The 18402-nt window shown below is 49.4% G+C and overlaps 1 non-coding gene across 3 annotated transcripts in view, besides 5 other annotated features; it reads left to right on the top strand.

Moving 5' to 3' along the window:
• Positions 1 to 65: 65 nt before the first annotated feature.
• Positions 66 to 18402, top strand: part of MROH5 (maestro heat like repeat family member 5 (gene/pseudogene)) — a 73405-nt gene continuing 55068 nt past the window's right edge. The window contains 5 exon segments of one of the 3 annotated variants that reach the window (NR_102364.3): positions 66 to 225; positions 11812 to 11957; positions 12358 to 12486; positions 17019 to 17178; positions 17458 to 17598. This is a non-coding gene — a transcript (maestro heat like repeat family member 5 (gene/pseudogene)). 3 annotated transcript variants of the gene reach the window in all.
• Positions 12687 to 16752: a meiotic recombination region, noted in NCBI's record as "meiotic double-strand break mapped by DNA meiotic recombinase 1 chromatin immunoprecipitation followed by single-stranded DNA enrichment and sequencing in the germ cells of some male individuals with the PRDM9 A/C genotype". NCBI's record gives the evidence for it as "EXISTENCE:chromatin immunoprecipitation-seq evidence [ECO:0000229][PMID:25395542]".
• Positions 14012 to 15152: a repeat instability region, noted in NCBI's record as "repeat instability region; HaeIII fragment containing the CEB42 minisatellite". NCBI's record gives the evidence for it as "EXISTENCE:restriction fragment detection evidence [ECO:0001124][PMID:10435440]".
• Positions 14079 to 15063: a minisatellite, noted in NCBI's record as "CEB42 (D8S358) VNTR, 41 nucleotide repeat".
• Positions 14583 to 15457: an enhancer, noted in NCBI's record as "OCT4-H3K27ac-H3K4me1 hESC enhancer chr8:142501938-142502812 (GRCh37/hg19 assembly coordinates)". NCBI's record gives its function as "activates a minimal SCP1, AML or CMV promoter by ChIP-STARR-seq in primed H9 embryonic stem cells {active_cell/tissue: H9 hESC(primed)}" and the evidence as "EXISTENCE:reporter gene assay evidence [ECO:0000049][PMID:30033119]".
• Positions 16546 to 16561: a nucleotide motif, noted in NCBI's record as "nucleotide motif; similarity to the predicted 16-mer PRDM9 C binding motif, CCNCNNTNNNCNTNNC".

Genomic DNA, 18402 nt, shown 5'->3' with positions numbered 1-18402 from the left:
TGTGGACACTGGAACCATTGTGACCTCAGGGGTGAGGTCAGGCCTGCCAGGGCGGGGGAGGGCCAGTGCCGTAGACAGGGCCGGCCCACAGGCGTGAGGCCAGAGTTAGTGGTGAGCTCCTGTGGGTCTGCACTGCACCCCAACCATGGACAGGCAGTGTTCTGAAAGGCCATACAGCTGCACCCCGACGGGTAGAGTGTCGTCAGCCGTGTCCCAAAACTCCAGGTCAGCTCAACCCCAGCAGGGACCCCCTGACCCCCCCCCACCGGTACTCAGCCTCCTCATCTGTCAGGGGAGCCTCCCTGCAGGCCATCCAGGGGCCCCTGTGCTGAGGAAGGAGGGTCCTGCCCCCAGGAGCAGCCTGCAGGGGTTGGAGTGGGGATCAGGTTGGAGGAGAGGAGGTCAGGAGGGCGGAAGCTTAAACTGGAGTGAGGGCCTTGCCCACATAGCCTGCACCTGTGTGAGGGCCAGAGGGACCATGGCCTGTGTTGCCAACAGTGCCTGCAGGCTGTGTGAACGGGTCAGTGAATGGATGGACAGACCGTTCACCTGCTTCTCTGGGCCTCGGCTTCTATTCAGCAGAATTGAGATGATACCACAGCCAGAGTTTCTGCAGAGATTTAAGGGACATGAATAAAGGAAGGTTCCTCCACAGCCTTCCAGGGTCCCCAGGGAACCCCAGTGTCCCAGGAACCTGGAAAGACACAAAGGGCATCTCTACCTTCCTGTGTCTGATACGCAGGTCAGAGCTGTCTGGCCCCCAGCCCAGAGCCCTGCCCGCCCCCTCTATGGGGACTCAGAGCAGGTTCTGCTGTCCAGACACTCGTCCACCCGGGCTGGGGCCCACAGCCAAGCCATGGGTTCAGAGCAGGATTCCCTGTTGCAATCCACGCTGCCTACGGTGGCTGTTCCAGGAATGTCTTGGTACCTGCCTGTGAACTCAGGTATTTCCGGCTCTCGCAGTCCACGTTTGAATGTTGTCAGGCCTCCCTTCTCTGCCATAGCTTCTGTTGCTGCTAAGCCAAGAGTACTCCTCTGCAGATGTTTGCTAATAGTGTGTTCACATCGTTTTTCTATTTTTAAAAATGCATTTAACTCTGGAAGCCACAGGGGCTGTGATGTGGGTTTGGAGGGGCAAGGTACAGGCCTCGCTGGTGCCTGCGGCCCATGCTGTTACCACTGCTGTGCCTGGGGGAAGCCGGGCTCTAGCTCCAACGGGATCCTCACTCCCACTCCCAGAGTGGGCCCCAGCCAGGTTTGTCTGGAAGGTCACCCTTTCCAGGATCAGGGAACTGGCTAGTTTTCTGAGAGGCCACAGGAAGGAGGCGGCTTCCAGAAGGGGTAAACTGTGTCTTGACCTCTCAAGGTCAAGAGAGCAGGGTCTGAGGGCCTCCCCAGAGCTGCCCTGGCCCTGAGATGCCAGGAGATGTCAGAACACGTGATATCTAGGACGGAGGCTCTAGAGCTCTTCAGACAGCAAAGCTCAGATGTGCAGAAATGCAGCTTCTCAGGCAACTCCAACCCTCTGCTGCAGTTATGGGATGGAGAAGCCTGGTGGGTATCCTCCTACAGCCCTGGCAAAGGGACAGAAAGAAAGGAGGAGAAGGAGACATGCTCTGGGCAGAGGGGCCAGGGAAGCAGAGCCTCACAGGGTCCACCAGAAGGCATTTGGGAAGCTGGATCTGGTGTGATGATTACAGGGGACAGACTGGATCCTGGAGAGGTGGGAGGGCTGTCACAATGCCATGTCCAAGGTCAGGACAGGGCCGGTGGTGGCTCTGGATACATCACCTGCTATGAAGCTCTCCATTCATTCTGCCAGTATTTGCTGAGCACCTGCTACGTGGACCAGGTGTTCTAGGTGTCGGGGATACTGCTGGGAACAAAAGAGATAAAGACCCTGCCCTCATGCCTTACATTCCAGGTAGGGAGACCTGCCAGTGAGACCAGAAGCAGGAAAGTAAAGGATATGATGTTACAGGGCAAAAAGTGACACGGAAAAAAGAGAGGGTGGGGAGGGGGAAGTGTGGGGTGAGGATTTAAATCAGTTCTTCAAGAAGGTGACAACTGAGCAAAGACTAAAATCAGGTGAGGGACTGAGCCAGGCAGCCATCTGAAGGAACGGCATTCCCCAGACGGAAGGAGTGGCCACACAAAGGTCCAGAAGTAGATGTGCACCCGGTGGTGGGAGCACCCCACCACTGGAGTGGAATAAGCAAGGGAGAGCAGAAGGAAATAAGGGCAGAGAGACCATTTTTGTTCTTATGTGTCTTTTTTCTTTTCGATTACAGTATGATTTACAGATGACAAAATTCACTATTTTTAGTGTATAGCTTTCAAATTTTGACAAATGTATATAGTCATGGACTCACCATCACAAACAAAATATGGCGGTGGGTACAGGATGCCCAGACAACTCCATCTCCCAGACACTCCCTCCCATCCCTTTGTAGTGAACTCTCTCCAACTCCCAGTCCCAGGGAACCACTGACCTGCTCTCTGTCTGTAGTTTCACCTTTTTCAGAATGTCATAAAAATGAAATGACACCAAATGTAGCTTTTGGAATCTGGTTTCCCTCCTGGAGCATCCATGTTTTTGTGTTTATCAGTGATTCACCTCTTTTGTTGCTGAGTAGCATTACTGTGAGTGTGACATGGTTTGTTTATACATTCCCAGGGTGAGGGACATTTGGATTATTTCCATGTGGAGATAGCATAAATAAAGTCAGTATAAATGTTTGTGTATATATTTTAGTCAGTAGTCATTTCACTTGAGTGAATGCCTAGGAGCGGGTAGCTGAGCCATTTGGTAAGTGTACATTAGACTTTATTAGCAAATACCAGGCTATCTTCCAAGAGGGCTGTGCCACTGTGCATTCCCACCAGCAATGTATGGAAGCTCAGAGCTATTCTGCAACCTCACCAGCACTTGGTATTTCCAGTGTCTCTGATTTTAGCTATTTCAGTAGATGTGTAGTGATAGCCCACTGTGGTGTTAGTTGGTTTCCCTCGTGAGAAATGTTGAGTGCTTTTCAGGTGCTTCTTTGCCATCTGTCTGCCTCCTCTGATGCCTTGTCCCAGTCTCCTGCCTGTGTTTCCTTAGGCCGCTTGCGCTTTGCTTTGTTTTGTTTTGAGAGTTCTTTCTATATTCTGGAGATAGTCCTTTATCAGATATGTGATTTGCAAATACTGCCTCCAAGTCTGCAGCTTATCATTTTTTAATGCATATCCCTTAATCTAAATAAAAGAGAGGGGGACCAGGTGCAGTGGCTCATGCCTGTAATCCCAGCACTTTGGCAGGTGGAAGCAGGAGGATCATTTGAGCCCAGGAGTTCAAGACCAGCCTGAGCAATATAGAGACAACCTGCCTCTATAATAAAAAAAAAAAAAATAGGCAGACATGGTGGCATGCATCTGTAGTCCTAGCTACTTGGGAGGCTGAGGCAGGATGATCTCTTGAGCCCAGGAGTTTGAGGCTACAGTGAGTGAGCTATGATTGTGCCACTGCACTCCAGCCTAGGCAACAGATCAAGTCTCTCTCTAGAAAACAAAAATAAAATAAAGACAGAGGGGATCTCTAAAAGAAAATGATATTTATTCAGGAATGGGCATTGCAATAGTAATACGTGTGCCATAGTAAACCACATGCCTATTCAAGGCTGGGGCAAGGGTAAGTTTTTAAAGGCAAAATTAAAATGATTGATTATATAAGTTGTTCTGAAATAATAATTCTTGGCTACAAGGGTCAATAACAAGGCTGGGGTGAGTCCTAGGTTGGAAAGACAGTTTTCTGGGTAGATGACCTCACAGAAGTATTTGTGTGTGTGTGTGTAAGGTTGCAATTGGCCTTTGTGCAAGGTTGTGGGTTTTGCAGAGTCTTTTGTGATCGTTCTTGCAGTCAGGCATTTGTGCATGAGAACCATTCCTTTAAGGCTTCCTCCAGCCCCATTTATCAGAGTTTTAACACAGTGACTCCATTTTGATTCCAACATGTTTCACGTATCTTTCAAAAAGCAGAAGTTTTTAATTTTTATGAAATCAAATTTATCATTTCTTCTTTTATATAGTGCTTTTGGTGTCACATCTAAGAAATCTTTGTCTAACCCAAGATCATAAAGATTTCCTCCTATATTTTCTTCTGAAAGTTTTAGAAGTTTAGGTCTTACTTTTGGGTCTATGATCTTTTTGAGTAAATTTTTCATATGGTGTGAGGTATGGATTAGGGGTTATTTTTTGCATGTGTCTGTTCAATTATTGCAGCAACATCTGTTAATGCTTTTTTAATAGAGTTGCTCTTGCACACTTATCAAAAATCAGTTGAAGCCAGGCACAGTGGCATGCATCTATAGTCCCAACTACTCAAGAGGCTGAGGCAGGAGAATTGCTTTAGCCCAGAAGTTTGAGACTGCAGTGAGCTATGACCACACCACTGTACTCCAGCCTGAGCAACAGAGTGAGACCCTATCTCTAAACAAAACAAAACAAAAATAATCAATTGACCTTATATGTGTGGGCCTTTTTCCGGAATCCATGTTCTGTTACACATATTTATATTTATGTGCTTTTATCAATATTACATTGCCTTGATTACTATAGCTTGACAATAAGTCTTGACATTGGTAATGGTCCTCCAATTTTGTTCTTCTACAAAATCTTTTTGACTATCCTAGTTTCTTTACCTTTCCATATAAATTTTAGAAACAGCTTGTTGGTTACTACCAAAAAAAATTCTTGCTGGGGTTTTTATTGAAATTGCATTGAATATTTAGAAAAAGTTAGAGAAAATTAATATCTGAACAATATTGAGTCTTCCAATCCATGAACATGGTGTATCTATCTATTTTCTTGATTTATTTCATCAATATTTTGTAGTTTACAGTATACAGACCTTGCAATTATTGGTTAGGTTTATGCCTAAATAACTCATGATTTTTGGTGCTAGTGTACATGGTACCTTTTTTATTTCAATTCCCAATTGTTCATTGCCAGTATGTATAAATATGAATAATTTTTGTTTATTGACCTTACAATTTGCAAATTTGCTGAACTTATTTTTTAGTTCTAGTAGGCTTTTCTGTAGATTTGGAATTTCCCACTTGTATAATAATGCCTTCTACAAATAAAAATAGTTTGTTTCTTCTTTCCCAGGCTGTATGACTTTTATTCCTTTTTGTTGACTTCTTACATTGATTAAGTCCATAGTCTAATGTTGAATGAGAGAGGTAAGAGCAGACTTCTTGCCTCATTCCCAGTCATGTGGAAAAATATTCAGCCTTCCACCATAAAGTGTGATGTTAGCTGTAGGATTTTTATAGATACTCTTTATCAGGTTGAGGAATTTTTCTTAATTCCTATGTTTATTTTTGAATAGATGTTGGGTTTTACCAAATGTTTCTCTGCATCTATTGAGATCATTGTATTTTCTTTCCTTAGTCAATCTAGTGAATTACATTGACTGATTTTTCAAATATTCAATTAGCCTGGTATTCCCAGGATAAGCCCCGCTAGGAGATGATGGATAAGCATTTCTGTATACTTTAAATTGTTTTATTAAGAAAGTTTGTGTCTGTTCATGGAAGATATTAGGCTGTAGTTTTCTTTATTTCCAATATCTTTATCTGGTTTTGGTGTCAGGTTTTGCCTCATGGAAGGGTTGGGAAGTGTTCCCTCCTCTTCAATTTTCTGGAAGAGTTTGTAGTATTGGTATTATTTCTTCCTTAAACACTTGATAGAATTCAAGAATGAAGCCAACTCAGCCTAAAATTTTCTTTATGGGAAAGTTTTCAACTACACATTCGATTTTCATAATTTGGGTTATTCTTGTTATTTCATTCTTGAGTAAGCTTTGGTATTTTATGACTCTAAGAAATGTGTCTATTCCATCTATGTCACCAAATTTATTGGCATAAAGTTATTCAGACTATCCCTTCATTATTCTTTTAATGTCTGTAGAACCTGTAATGATGTACCCACTCTTACTGATGTTAATAATCTGTGTTTTTACTTTTTTGCCCTAATAAATCCTGCTAGTGGTTTATTAATGTTTTCATCTTTTCAAAAAACCTACTGGTTTCATTGATTTTTTCTATTTTTTGTTATTTTCTATTTCATTGATTTTTGCTCTTTTTTTCTTGAGTTTAATTTGCTGGTTTTTTCCTAATTTATTCAGTTATAATCTGATTTCAGACCTTCATTCTTTTCTAATACAGGTGTTTTAATGCTGCACCCCAGGGATTTTTATATGCTGTGTTTTCATTTTTCTTTTGTTCAAGATGCCTTTTACTTTCATTACCTTTTATTTCTTCTTTACCGATGGATTATTTAAAATTATGTTATTTAGTTTCCTTATACTTAGGTATTTTCCATCTATCTTTCTGTTATTGATTTCCAATTTAATTCCATGTGGTCAGAGATCATGCTTTGTTGGATCTGAATCCTTTCCAATTTGCTAAGACTTTTTATGGCACAGAATATAGTCTGCCTTGGTAAATGTACCATGTGTATTTGAAAATAAAGTTTATTCTTTTGTGGTTAGAGTTCTATAAATGTCAATTCAGTTATGTTGGTTAATAATTGTTTGAGCCTTTTATATTCTTACTGATTACCTGTCGACTTATTTTATCAATTATCAATAGATGGATGTTGACATTTTCAACTAAGATTGTTGACTTGTCTATTTTTCCTTCTAGCTCTAACTTCTTTGCTTTATGTGTTTTGAAGTTCTGTGACTAGATGCATGAATATTTAAGATTCTTATATCTCCTTGATTAATGGACCGATTCTCTTTATCCCTGTTATATTATTTACTCTAAAATATACTTTGTCTGATATTAACATAACCACACAGTTTTTTTAATATTTGTGTTAGCATGATATATCGTTTTCCATCCTTTTACTTTTGATTGATTGGTAGCTACTATATTTCAAGTGGATTTTGTATAGGCAGTGTACACTTGGCTCTTGCTTTTTTATTCAATTTGACAATCTCTGCTATTTGATTGTGGTGATTTAATCATTTATATTTAATATGACTTTTGATATGATTTGGTTTTAGTCTACCATCTTGCAATTTGTTTTCTCTTTGTCTCATCTGTTTTTATGCATTTTTTTGTCTCCTTCTGCCTTTATTTGCATTGAGTATTTTTTATGACTCCACCTTATCTCCTTTGTGGACTTGTTAGCCACACATATTTTGTCTTATGTTGTTTTAGTCATTGCTTTTGGGTTTCTTTTTTTTTTTTTTTTTTTTTTTTTTTTTTTTTTTTTTTTTTTTGAGACAGAGTCTCGGCTGTCTGCAGGCTCTGCCCCCTGGGTTTCACGCCATTCTCCTGCCTCAGCCTCCCGAGTAGCTGGGACTACAGGCACCCGCCACCTCGCCCGGCTAATTTTTTGTATTTTTAGTAGAGACAGGGTTTCACCATGTTAGCCAAGATGGTCTCGATCTCCTGACCTCGTGATCCACCCGCCTCGGCCTCCCAAAGTGCTGGGATCACAGGCGTGAGCCACCGCGCCCGGCCTGCTTTTGGGTTTCTAGTATACATGTTAGCTTATCTCGGTCTACCTTCAAGTGAAATTATAGCTTCGAGTAAAATTAAGAGTATAAGCACCTTCCAATATTTTGTTTTCATTTCCCCCTCCTGGCTTTTGTGCTATTATTGTTATATATTTTACTTCTATATTTGTTATAAACCCACAATGCATTATTATTCTTACTTTAAATTTTAAAAATAAACAAATTCTATTTACCTAAATTTTTCCCATTTGTGGTGCTTGTTATTCTTTTGTGTAGTTTCCTATTTCCATCTGTTGTCATTTTCCTTCTGTCTGGAAGACTATCTCAAACGTTTTTTGTAGTGCAGGACTCCTGGTGATAACTTCTTCTGGTTTTTGTGTACATGAAAAGTGTTTCTATATCACCTTCCGTTTTTAAAGATATTTTCTCTAGGTATGGAATTCCAGCTTGGCAGGTTGTTGTTTCATTTTGTTTTTTTCTTTCAGGGCGCTAAATTGTTGCTCACTGTCTCTCAGCTTGTACCGTTTTCAACAAGAACTGTGCTCTGATTTTTCGTTCCTTTCATGTGTCTTTTTTCTATGGCTGGTTTTAAGATTTGCTCCTATCATTGGCTTTGGGCAATATTATTTCAATGTGTCTTCATGTAGTTTTCTTTGTATTTCTTTTGCTTGGAATTCGTTGTTTCCTGGATCTGTGGATTTATCATTTTCATCAAATTTGTAAAATGTATTTGAGGTATTTCCTCAGATATGTTTTCTTTCCCCTTCCTTCTGTGGGGATGCAAATTCCACATACAAAATGCCATGTGATGCTGTCCCACAGCTCACTAACGCTCTGTTTTATTTTTTCCAGTCTTTTTTCTCTGTATGTTTCATTTTTGGATAGTTTCTGTTGCTGTGTCTCCAGGTTCACTCATCTTCGCTTCTACATTGTTTAATCTGCTGCTAAACTAGTGTATTCATAGTATGAAATGTATTCTTCATCATTTTATATTTCCCATGTCTTTCCTTACCATGCTTATGTTTTGCTCTACCATGTTGAACATGAGAAATATATCATTGACAGTAATGGCAAAAGTCGCAATTACTTTTGCACCAACCTTATAGTTATAATTGTTTTAATGTCCTTGTCTACTAATTATATCATTTCTGTGTTGGTTTCAATTAATTGATTTTTCTCCTAATTGTAGATCATATTTTTTTGCTTCTTTCCATGCCTAGCAAATTTTGATTGGATGCTAGACATTGTGAATTTTGCCTTGTTGGGTACTGGATATTCCTGTACTTTTTAAATATTCTTCAGATTTGTTCTTGAACACAATTAAATTACTTGAAAAGTTTGGTTCCTTTGAGGCTTTGATTTTAAAGCTTTAGTAGGAAGAGCCAAAGCATTGTTGTTTAGGGCAGATTTTTTTCCCCCATTACTGAGGTCATACCATTAGCACTCTACCTAATGCGCTGTGAATTACCAGGTTTTCCATTCTTGCTGATGAGAAAAGGAACTCTTCCTAGCTCTGTGTGAGTTCCAAAGATTGTTCCCTCTACTCTTTTTGGAGCTTTGTGGTTCTTTTCCCAAACGTACTGAGCTCAGATGAAGACGGGGAATGCAGGGGATCCCCTGCAAAGCCCCAGAACTCTCTCTCCTCCTTTTGCAGCTGTCTCCTGTGACTCTTCCCAGCAAACTCCAGCCACTTTGGCTCCCCAAGACTTTCACGTCCACTTCCTCCACTCAGAGAGACTACTGGGCTTTATCAGGCTTCCTCACCCTGCGCCGCAAACTGGAAACTTCCCAGGCAGCTGGCTGTGGCCATGCTGGGCTCACCGTGCTGGTTTTCCATTTTCAGAGATCTTTGTCCTGTGCTGCTGTTGTCTGATGTCTGATAATCATGGTTTTGTATATTTTTCCAATTTTTGAGTTGTTTAAGGCAGGAGGGTGAAGCTGGTCCTTGTTACACCCTCGTGGATGGAAGCATCTGTGTCTTATGTCATCTTCAGGACTTTGGGTTTTACTCTGAGTGAAATGGGAGGCATATGGGTAGATTTTGAGTGGCATGATCTGACATGCATCCCTCCCATGGTGGGACAAATGAATGGGTAAAATATTGAGAGATGAACTGTCTTCTAATGTACCACAGAATTCACTGATTTGATTTGCTGACTTTATCTCATTCATTGATGCATCCCAGGAGCCTAGAACATGTCCCACCCATAGTAGGCACCTGGGAAGTGGGTACCAAGAGTGAACAAATGAATAAGGTCAGGAAGTGGGTGGAGCAGGAGCCTGTTCCTGCCCCAGGGGCTCACTGGCAGAACTCGTGATGGGGGACAAGGCTTGGGCAGCATCCCCAAAAGGAAGGACCCAGTCTCTTTTGGCCCTTTGTGGCCACTAACACAGCCTGAGGTAGTGCTTTCCCCATATTTGCAAGAGAAGAGGAAGGAGAGGAGGAAAAGGCAGAGGCCAGCTTGGAGGAAGGAGAGGAGGAGAAGGCAGAGGCCAGCTTGGAGGAAGGAGAGGAGGAGAAGGCAGAGACCAGCTTGGAGGAAGGAGAGGAGGAGAAGGCAGAGGCCACCTTGGAGGAAGGAGAGGAGGAGAAGGCAGAGGCCAGCTTGGAGGAAGGAGAGGAGGAGAAGGCAGAGGCCAGCTTGGAGGAAGGAGAGGAGGAGAAGGCAGAGACCAGCTTGGAGGAAGGAGAGGAGGAGAAGGCAGAGGCCAGCTTGGAGGAAGGAGAGGAGGAGAAGGCAGAGGCCAGCTTGGAGGAAGGAGAGGAGGAGGAGGCAGAGGCCACCTTGGAGGAAGGAGAGGAGGCCTTCCTTGGAGGCCCCTGCATCCTCCCTTGCTCTGCTCTCACTGCTCCTGCAGCTCCCCCACTCCCCTCGGAGACTCCACCAGATGTCTGGGTGACCAAGGCAGTCTCACATGTGATCGGAATGAGATTGGCTCTCTCAAATCAAGAGCCTGAGCTAGGGATACCATACCCTGAGCCCTGCCATGTCCCACCAGCCATGTCTGTCTCAAACCCAACCTCAGAACCTGACACTTGCACGGAGGCCAGGCCGCACCAGGCCTACAGGTGATGCTGCCTACTCAACAGTGTCCTTGAGGCCTCGAGACCCCTGCCCTCCTCCCAGGGCCCAGCCAGTCCATTGAATGGAAGGACAAACACATGGAAGGATGCAGCTGAGCCCGATGGAAGTCAATGCTGCGCTCAGCACCCCCTGTACTAACGCAGAAATATACACGCACTCAGATGCCAACACCCAGGGCCCCTCCTCCATTTCAGAATCTCCCCCCCTGTCTCCACATCCATGAAGGACTCATCTTGCATGAAGGTACACCAGGACTCTGCCCGCAGGGACAGATGGTCACACCCCACCACCATCCTGCTTCACAAGTCGCAGAGCAGCCAGGCCACACTGATGCTACAGGAGCACAGGATGTTCATGGGGGAAGCCTACAGTGCAGGTGACTGCCAGCCCTGGGCTCAGACAGGCAGGGGCGGGTCGGCCCAGATGGGGTCAGGCTCCAGCAGATCCCACCATGTCCCTCCACCAAAAGCAGTCCTGAGGGTGATGGCCAGAGGGAGTCTCCACTCCAGGACCTTGAGGGTATCAAGTGGTGTGGACATAGTGAAGCTTTCAGCAAAGAACCCTGCACACCCGGCTTGGCCTCTTCATGCCTCCTGAGGCACCATCCAAAGCCCAAATGATGCCCCAGCTCACCCTACACCCCGCCCTCCGCTATCCTCCCTTTCCCTTTCACACCTCGGAACCGCAGTCCAGGCCTGGCCCCTCCCTTATTCAAACACCATTGAATGCTGGATGACTGGATGGATGGTGAAAGGATAAAAGAATGGATGGGGGGATGGAGGGATGAATTCATGAGTGGGTGGGTGAATAAATTTATGAATAGATGGATGTTGGGCAGATGGGCAGGTAGATGAATGGAAAGATAGATGAGCAGGTGGATTAGTAGATGGAAGGATGGACAGATGGAACATGTGGGTGGATGGACAGATGGCTGGATGGACAGGTGGATGAGTGGATGATGGGCGGATGGGAATATGAATGGTGAGTGAGGACGTGCTCATGCACCTGCACTCCTGCTCCTTACCTATGTTGAACTCCAGAAGGTCCATCTGGACAGTCAGGAGGTCCTGGACTTCTCATACATCCATTCCCCAGTTCTCATTTTCAGAGCACTCCTTCCATCCCCAGACCCATCCTCCTGCCTGCCGAGCCTTGCTGCCACAATGTGAGCTACCCACAGCCTGCTTACACATGCCTTCTTGCCAACCTTAGCCACCGGCTTCAAGATGCTGCAGGACATGAACAGTGCTGACCCCTTCCACTTGAAGTACATCATCAAGAAGATCAAGAACATGGCTCATGGCTCCCCCAAGCTGGTGATGGAAACCATCCACGACTACTTCATAGACAACCCAGAGGTGGGGACAGCTTGGGCCACTGGGGCAGGCACAGGGGGCAGAGGGGGAGGGTGGGACCCCAAGGTGGGCTCAAACCCTAGATCCTGCCTAGAACAGCTACATGGCTTGGGGCAAGTCTCCATTTCCTCATATGTCAAATGGGCCAAGTGGGGAGGGAGAAAAGTGGACCCGCATGCATTGACCACCCTCAGAATGCGCTCATGAGGTGGCGATCCTGACCCTCACAGGTGGGGAAACGAAGGCGTAGGGAGGCCAAGGGATTTGCCTGGAGTCATAGAACCATGAAGTGGCAGAGAGAAATGGCTCCTCTCACACCCCTCCCCATCCACGCCCCCACCCACATCTCCCACACGATCTGACCTGATCTGTCCCCAAGCCACCATTGCTCTGCCATCCACAGATCTCCAGCAGGCACAAGTTCCGGCTGTTCCAGACCCTGGAGATGGTCATCGGGGCCAGTGACGTCCTGGAGGAGACCTGGGAGAAAACTTTCACACGGCTCGCTCTGGAGAACATGACCAAGGCCACGGTGGGCCTCCCCTCCCACAGCAAGTGGGCCAACCCCCCACGGGTTCTGGGAATGCCAGCAGCTGCCCCAGGGACCCAAGTGATGCTGGGCATGCCCAGCCTTGTGGGTTACCAAGCAATTTCCATCCAGTGACTCACGTTCTTACCCCCAGCCCCTTCAGCGGGACAATCATACTTTTCCATCTCACGTTCCCATTCCAGGAAGGTGAGGCTCAAGAGAGCATTGCTTGTCTAAAGCCAAGGGGCTCGTAAGTTGGGGGGCCCTCTCCCCAAAGGAGGTCTCTCCCTGAAGCAGGCTATGGTTCCCCTCTGCACCGCCTTCCTCACCACTGCATGGCAGCTGCCTGCAGCCCAGCCTCTGGAAGGCCTGCTGTGAGTCTAACCCAGTCTGCAGGCTGTAACTCTGCCCTTGCCCTTGGCCACCTTCTGGGTTCCTGCTTGATGGAGACTTGGGGGTCTGGACCTGAACTGTCCCACCCACCCCACCCCACCCCACCTGCAGCTTGCAGTCCAAGAGCCAGCCCTAGCCGCCAACAATCTCCACTCCAAGAGTGGAGACTTGGGAGCAGGTGGCTTAGACTGACTAGGCCAGGGCAGCCCCAGGGGACACCTCAATACGCACACACACTAGGGTGCCCCACAAAGCAGGAGTAGACACCATTTACCCTCCGTGTGGTGCCGAGTCTTAATTCATGATTGTGCAGGAGGCAAAGGCCACTGAAAGGTCTTTAATACTCAAAGCTCTCCCCAAAGCAAGAGGCACAGCACACCCCACGGGGCCACACAGGCCTGTCCCAGGCGGGGGTCAGAAAGCAGACAGAGGGACCATCTGAACATGCCTTCAGGGCCATGGTGGTGGGAAGTAATGAAGTAGAGACATCTCCTAGGAGCTACGGGGACACAGGCAGGTTGAGGGCATTGTAATGGGACTTCCATACTCCCCAAAAGATGTAAGCAGCTCCAGCTGCTCACCTGGCCCTATGATTCAACAAACTCAAGGAGAGGTTATTTGGAATAACAGACATCAAACAGCCAGCACAGGGCCTACAAGCATGGTCAACACATCCTCCACACAGGGGTTTGTGGCCCCATTTACGGATGCGGAGGCTGGAGCCCAGAGCCTTAGGGACTGGCCTGCAATCACAGCCCAGCTGGTGGGTGGCAGGTGGGACATGCCCCTGTGCTCCCCCAGAGAAGTGAATGAGGCCACCCTGGGTGTGAGAGACAGCAAAATGGGAAGCAAGGGCCCTGTCTACCTATTTCTTTTTTCCACCTCATTTCTTTTTCTTTTGGAATCTTATGCATGTGTTTGTCACACTCACCACTGCGAAGTCTTTCAGGCGTCTCTGCAGTTTACAGATTGATGATCCTAGGGAGATGGGGTTGGGGAGCAGTTTCCCCGGGGAGGCAAGGGCTTCGGGACACTCTCAGGGGTGTGGTCTGGCTTCAGCCTCCCTGAGGGTGGACAAGACCCTCCTGGGGCTTCATGAGGAGGGGCCCCTGCATGGAGTCTGGCATGAATGAGGCCAGGACTGGTCTACATTTTCTGCTTCTGAACACACTGCAGCCCCGCTCCAGCCCCCAGAGTAAGTCGACACTTCTGTGGGTCCTACCCGCCCCCTGGGACACAGACAGACACTTCTGTGGGTCCTACCCACCTCCTGGGACACAGAGGGACACTTCTGTGGGTCCTACCCGCCCCCTGGGACACAGACGGACACTTCTGTGGGTCCTACCCGCCTCCTGGGACACAGAGGGACACTTCTGTGGGTCCTACCCGCCCCCTGGGACACAGACGGACACTTCTGTGGGTCCTACCCGCCCCCTGGGACACAGACGGACACTTCTGTGGGTCCTACCCGCCCCCTGGGACACAGACGGACACTTCTGTGGGTCCTACCCGCCCCCTGGGACACAGACGGACACTTCTGTGGGTCCTACCCGCCCCCTGGGACACAGACGGACACTTCTGTGGGTCCTACCCGCCCCCTGGGACACAGACGGACACTTCTGTGGGTCCTACCCGCCCCCTGGGACACAGACGGACACTTCTGTGGGTCCTACCCGCCCCCTGGGACACAGACGGACACTTCTGTGGGTCCTACCCGCCCCCTGGGACACAGACGGACACTTCTGTGGGTCCTACCCGCCCCCTGGGACACAGACGGACACTTCTGTGGGTCCTACCCGCCCCCTGGGACACAGACGGACACTTCTGTGGGTCCTACCCGCCCCCTGGGACACAGAGGGACACTTCTGTGGGTCCTACCCGCCCCCTGGGACACAGACGGACACTTCTGTGGGTCCTACCCGCCCCCTGGGACACAGACGGACACTTCTGTGGGTCCTACCCGCCCCCTGGGACACAGACGGACACTTCTGTGGGTCCTACCCGCCCCCTGGGACACAGACGGACACTTCTGTGGGTCCTACCCGCTGCCTGGGACACAGAGGGACACTTCTGTGGGTCCTACCCGCCCCCTGGGACACAGACGGACACTTCTGTGGGTCCTACCCGCCTCCTGGGACACAGACGGACACTTCTGTGGGTCCTACCCACCCCCTGGGACACAGACGGGCATCAGGCACTCTGTTACCTAGGTCAGGACCAGCCGAGTTCAGACAATCTTCCAGCCCAGCATAGAGCTTGGAGTCAGTGAGGACCGGCCTGGGCCTGCACTCCTGTTGCCCTGCTCCGGTGGGGGACTGTGTTTCCTACACCCTAAGTCTCCCCTTTCCAGATTTACTTTCTTAAACTGGAGACAGACTTCAGCTTCCTGGAGGTGCTTCTTGGGGTAGGGCTTAAGGGAAGTAAGGTTTTGAGCCTGTGCATTTCCAGAAATCTCTGGATTTGATTTCACACTGGACTGTGGGTTGGCAACCGCTGTCCATTGTCCTCTGGCCCTCGTGGCTGTTGAGGATCCAGAGCCATCCTGAACCGTAATCCTTCACACGCGACCTGATGTCTGCTGGGGAGCTCGGGCTTGTGGAGTCTTTGTCCTGCCCATTCCGCAGGAGTGGAAGTCACTCTGGGGGCAGCATTAGCCACCGCGCTTTGTGGTCACGTATCCCTTCCATCTGGCTACCTGAACCCTTGGTTCCACCGTAGAGTGACCAGGTGAGCCCACTGCTGCCACCCTCACCCAGCTACGTCAGCATCTCTCCATCTTCCCTTCTACGCTCTGAGGAGTCCCAGGGAGACGCTCACCCAGGGGCCCTGCATAAAGGTCAGGGTCCCATCCCATGGCAGTCATGCCAGGACTGGCCTGGGAAGTGAGTATTCCCGGAGTTTACGGGCCTGGCAACCCCTGGGTAGAGACACTCATCTGCCCCCTCCAGAGACTGAGCCCCCAGAGTCTTGCTGGGGTGGGAGAGGGCCAGCTCCCTTCACGTGTGCAGAGTGTGGGAGGTACATCTACGGACTCAACTACTTCTAAAACCACGTCACCTTTAGTTTCAGCCCCTCCACTGCCCCTCCAGTTCTAGAGGCTGGGAGACAAGAGACCCCCCCAACTTCAAATACTGGGGGACAGTGCCGTGTGGGTGAGCTGGCCGCTCGGCCTCTGCTCCGCTAGCCTACACGTGGTCTTCAGGCCCCTCGCCTACCTGCTTCCCACTTCCACAGTGCGGTTGCTATTGTCCTTTTTAAAAAATCTCCTAAATGTAGTGTCAGCTGAGGTAGGTTTTTTGAAAGAGCAAAATCAGATTCAATCACCATCTTCACAAGAAGCCCCCATAACCATACTTTCCATAAGTTATAAATGATATATCTATTTCATGCGATGATTCAAGCTGCATGGCACGGCTCAGACACCCCCACTTTCAGACGCCCCCAAGTGCAGACAGGCCTCCTGTTCACCTGCCTCAGAGCCACAGAAGCTGCCTTATGGCTCCCATGAAGACTGAGAAAAGAGTAGAAATCAAAATTGCAGCAAGATCTAAAGGGATACCCACACGCTTGTTAAGAAAGGTCCCAGGTGTGACCACACAGAGCCAGGCTCCGGGACCCATGTGGTTCCTTCCTGCTGAAGATGCCCCTCCACTGGACAGTGGGGGCTTGGCCAGGGTCAGGGAGGCCAGGGACCCAGTCAGCGGGGCTCTGCCCTTGAGCAGCTGACGCCCTGGCTCTCTTGGACAGGAATATAGCCTCTGCTTCTGAATTCATGGTGAAAGATGTGACATTGTCCTGAGCCGCCAGGAGCTCAGGAGGAGAGGTGATGTGGGCTGGAGGTTTCAGGATGAGTGCCCTGAACCCAGGCCTTGGAGCAGGCTCTAAGTGGGAGTGGAGGTGAAGGCAGGCACACAGCGTGAGCAAGGGCTCAGAGGTAGGGAGGAAGAGGAGGAGGTGTTCCGGCAATGGACGCAGACCAGGAAGGCCTCAGGCTCCCTCAGCCTCAGTTTTCTACCAAAAGAAACATGGGCCGTGGCCGCTGTCCTGGCCCTCAAACCAGCCCTGGCATGTGAAGACGCGAGGTCTCGTAACAAGCCGCTCTTACTCTACCTCCCGCCCTGCCTGCTCCCACCCCACCCCAGGAGCTGGAAGACATATACCAGGACGCGGCCAGCAACATGCTGGTGGCCATCTGCAGGCACTCGTGGCGGGTGGTGGCGCAGCATCTGGAGACGGAGCTCCTGACGGGCGTCTTCCCACACAGAAGCCTCCTCTACGTGATGGGCGTCCTGTCCTCCAGCGGTATGTCGGGCGCCAGTTTGCGGACAGGGTGGGGTGGGTCATGGAGAGTGATCCAAGAGGTGGCTCTGAGAGTCCACATGGGCAGGGTACAGGGGCTGCACGTCACTTGTGCACCATGAGGTAGCTTCATGCCCGGCAGCAACAGGCTGCTGCCCCGAGGACCCCCATTGCCCACCACCCCTCAGAGGGCCCAGGCCATGCTCAGGATCTCCCTGGAAAGAGCGACACCAGGCCCAGCCGTGTCAGCCCCTCTGATGGCTCACCCACTCCTACTGTCAGTATTGCAACAGCTGGACCTGGACGGAGCCAGGATGACAGAGGAGGTCCCAGGAGGTGGCCCAGGACAGGTGTGAGGCTGGCACATGGCCGGGCAACTCCACTGCCAGCTGCTGCATCTGTCTCCTCCCTTGGTCACACAAGGCAGGTGGGCATTCCTCCCCTGGAAGGTGAAGAGATGGAGCTCAGAGAGGCAGCATGGCCGACCAGGGCCACTCCCAGCCTGTCACAGCCGGCAGTGTCTGGGCCCTGCATCCACATAGCCGCGGCCTCCAAGCTGCGGGAAGTGCCGGCCTGGACAGTGGGGCCTCTGAGGACCCCAGAAGAAGGACATTCAGAGAGTTGCTGACACAAAATAGCGAACACTTACTGAGCACCTACCCATGCCAGGCCCCCAGCCACACAGAGGCGAGGGGCAGCCTTCATTCATTCACTCATTCATTCACAGCATATGCTGTTGCGCTTCCCACTGGGAGATGCAGGGCTGCCTTGAGGGCAGCTGGGGTTGCCCAGAGAGGAAAGGGACCAGTTGTCCTGGGGCCATCAAGGAGGGCTTCCTGGAGGAGGCAGCCAGTATAGGCCACATCTAGAGGGATGCGTAGGAGGGTGAGGAGGGACACTCCTTCTGCCAAGGGCCTTGAGGAAGAGTTGGTCGGCAGCCACAGTGAGGGGTGGGGTTGGGGTGTGGCAGGCCCTGTGACCTGCAGGGAGGCCCAGGCCCAGCAGGGGTGTTTGGACGCTAAGACCTGAGGGGAAGCAGGACCTGCTCGGCTTGGCCTTGCACCTCCCACCCCAGGATTAGCAGGCTGCATGGAGGTCCCTCTGCACCTGGGGGTACTGCTGAGGCTGCCAGATCCCTCCCCAAATCAGCCTTTCCCTCTGGGGTAGGTTCCAAAGTTCCGGAAAAGCTCTCCACTCTCACAATGCCTCCCTCCCAAAGGCTTATTT

Source organism: Homo sapiens, chromosome 8 (genome assembly GCF_000001405.40).
Source record: "Homo sapiens chromosome 8, GRCh38.p14 Primary Assembly".
Taxonomy (NCBI): Eukaryota; Metazoa; Chordata; class Mammalia; order Primates; family Hominidae; genus Homo; species Homo sapiens.
Note: the sequence above shows the minus strand (reverse complement) of the source record. Positions and strands in the feature narration are given on the sequence as shown.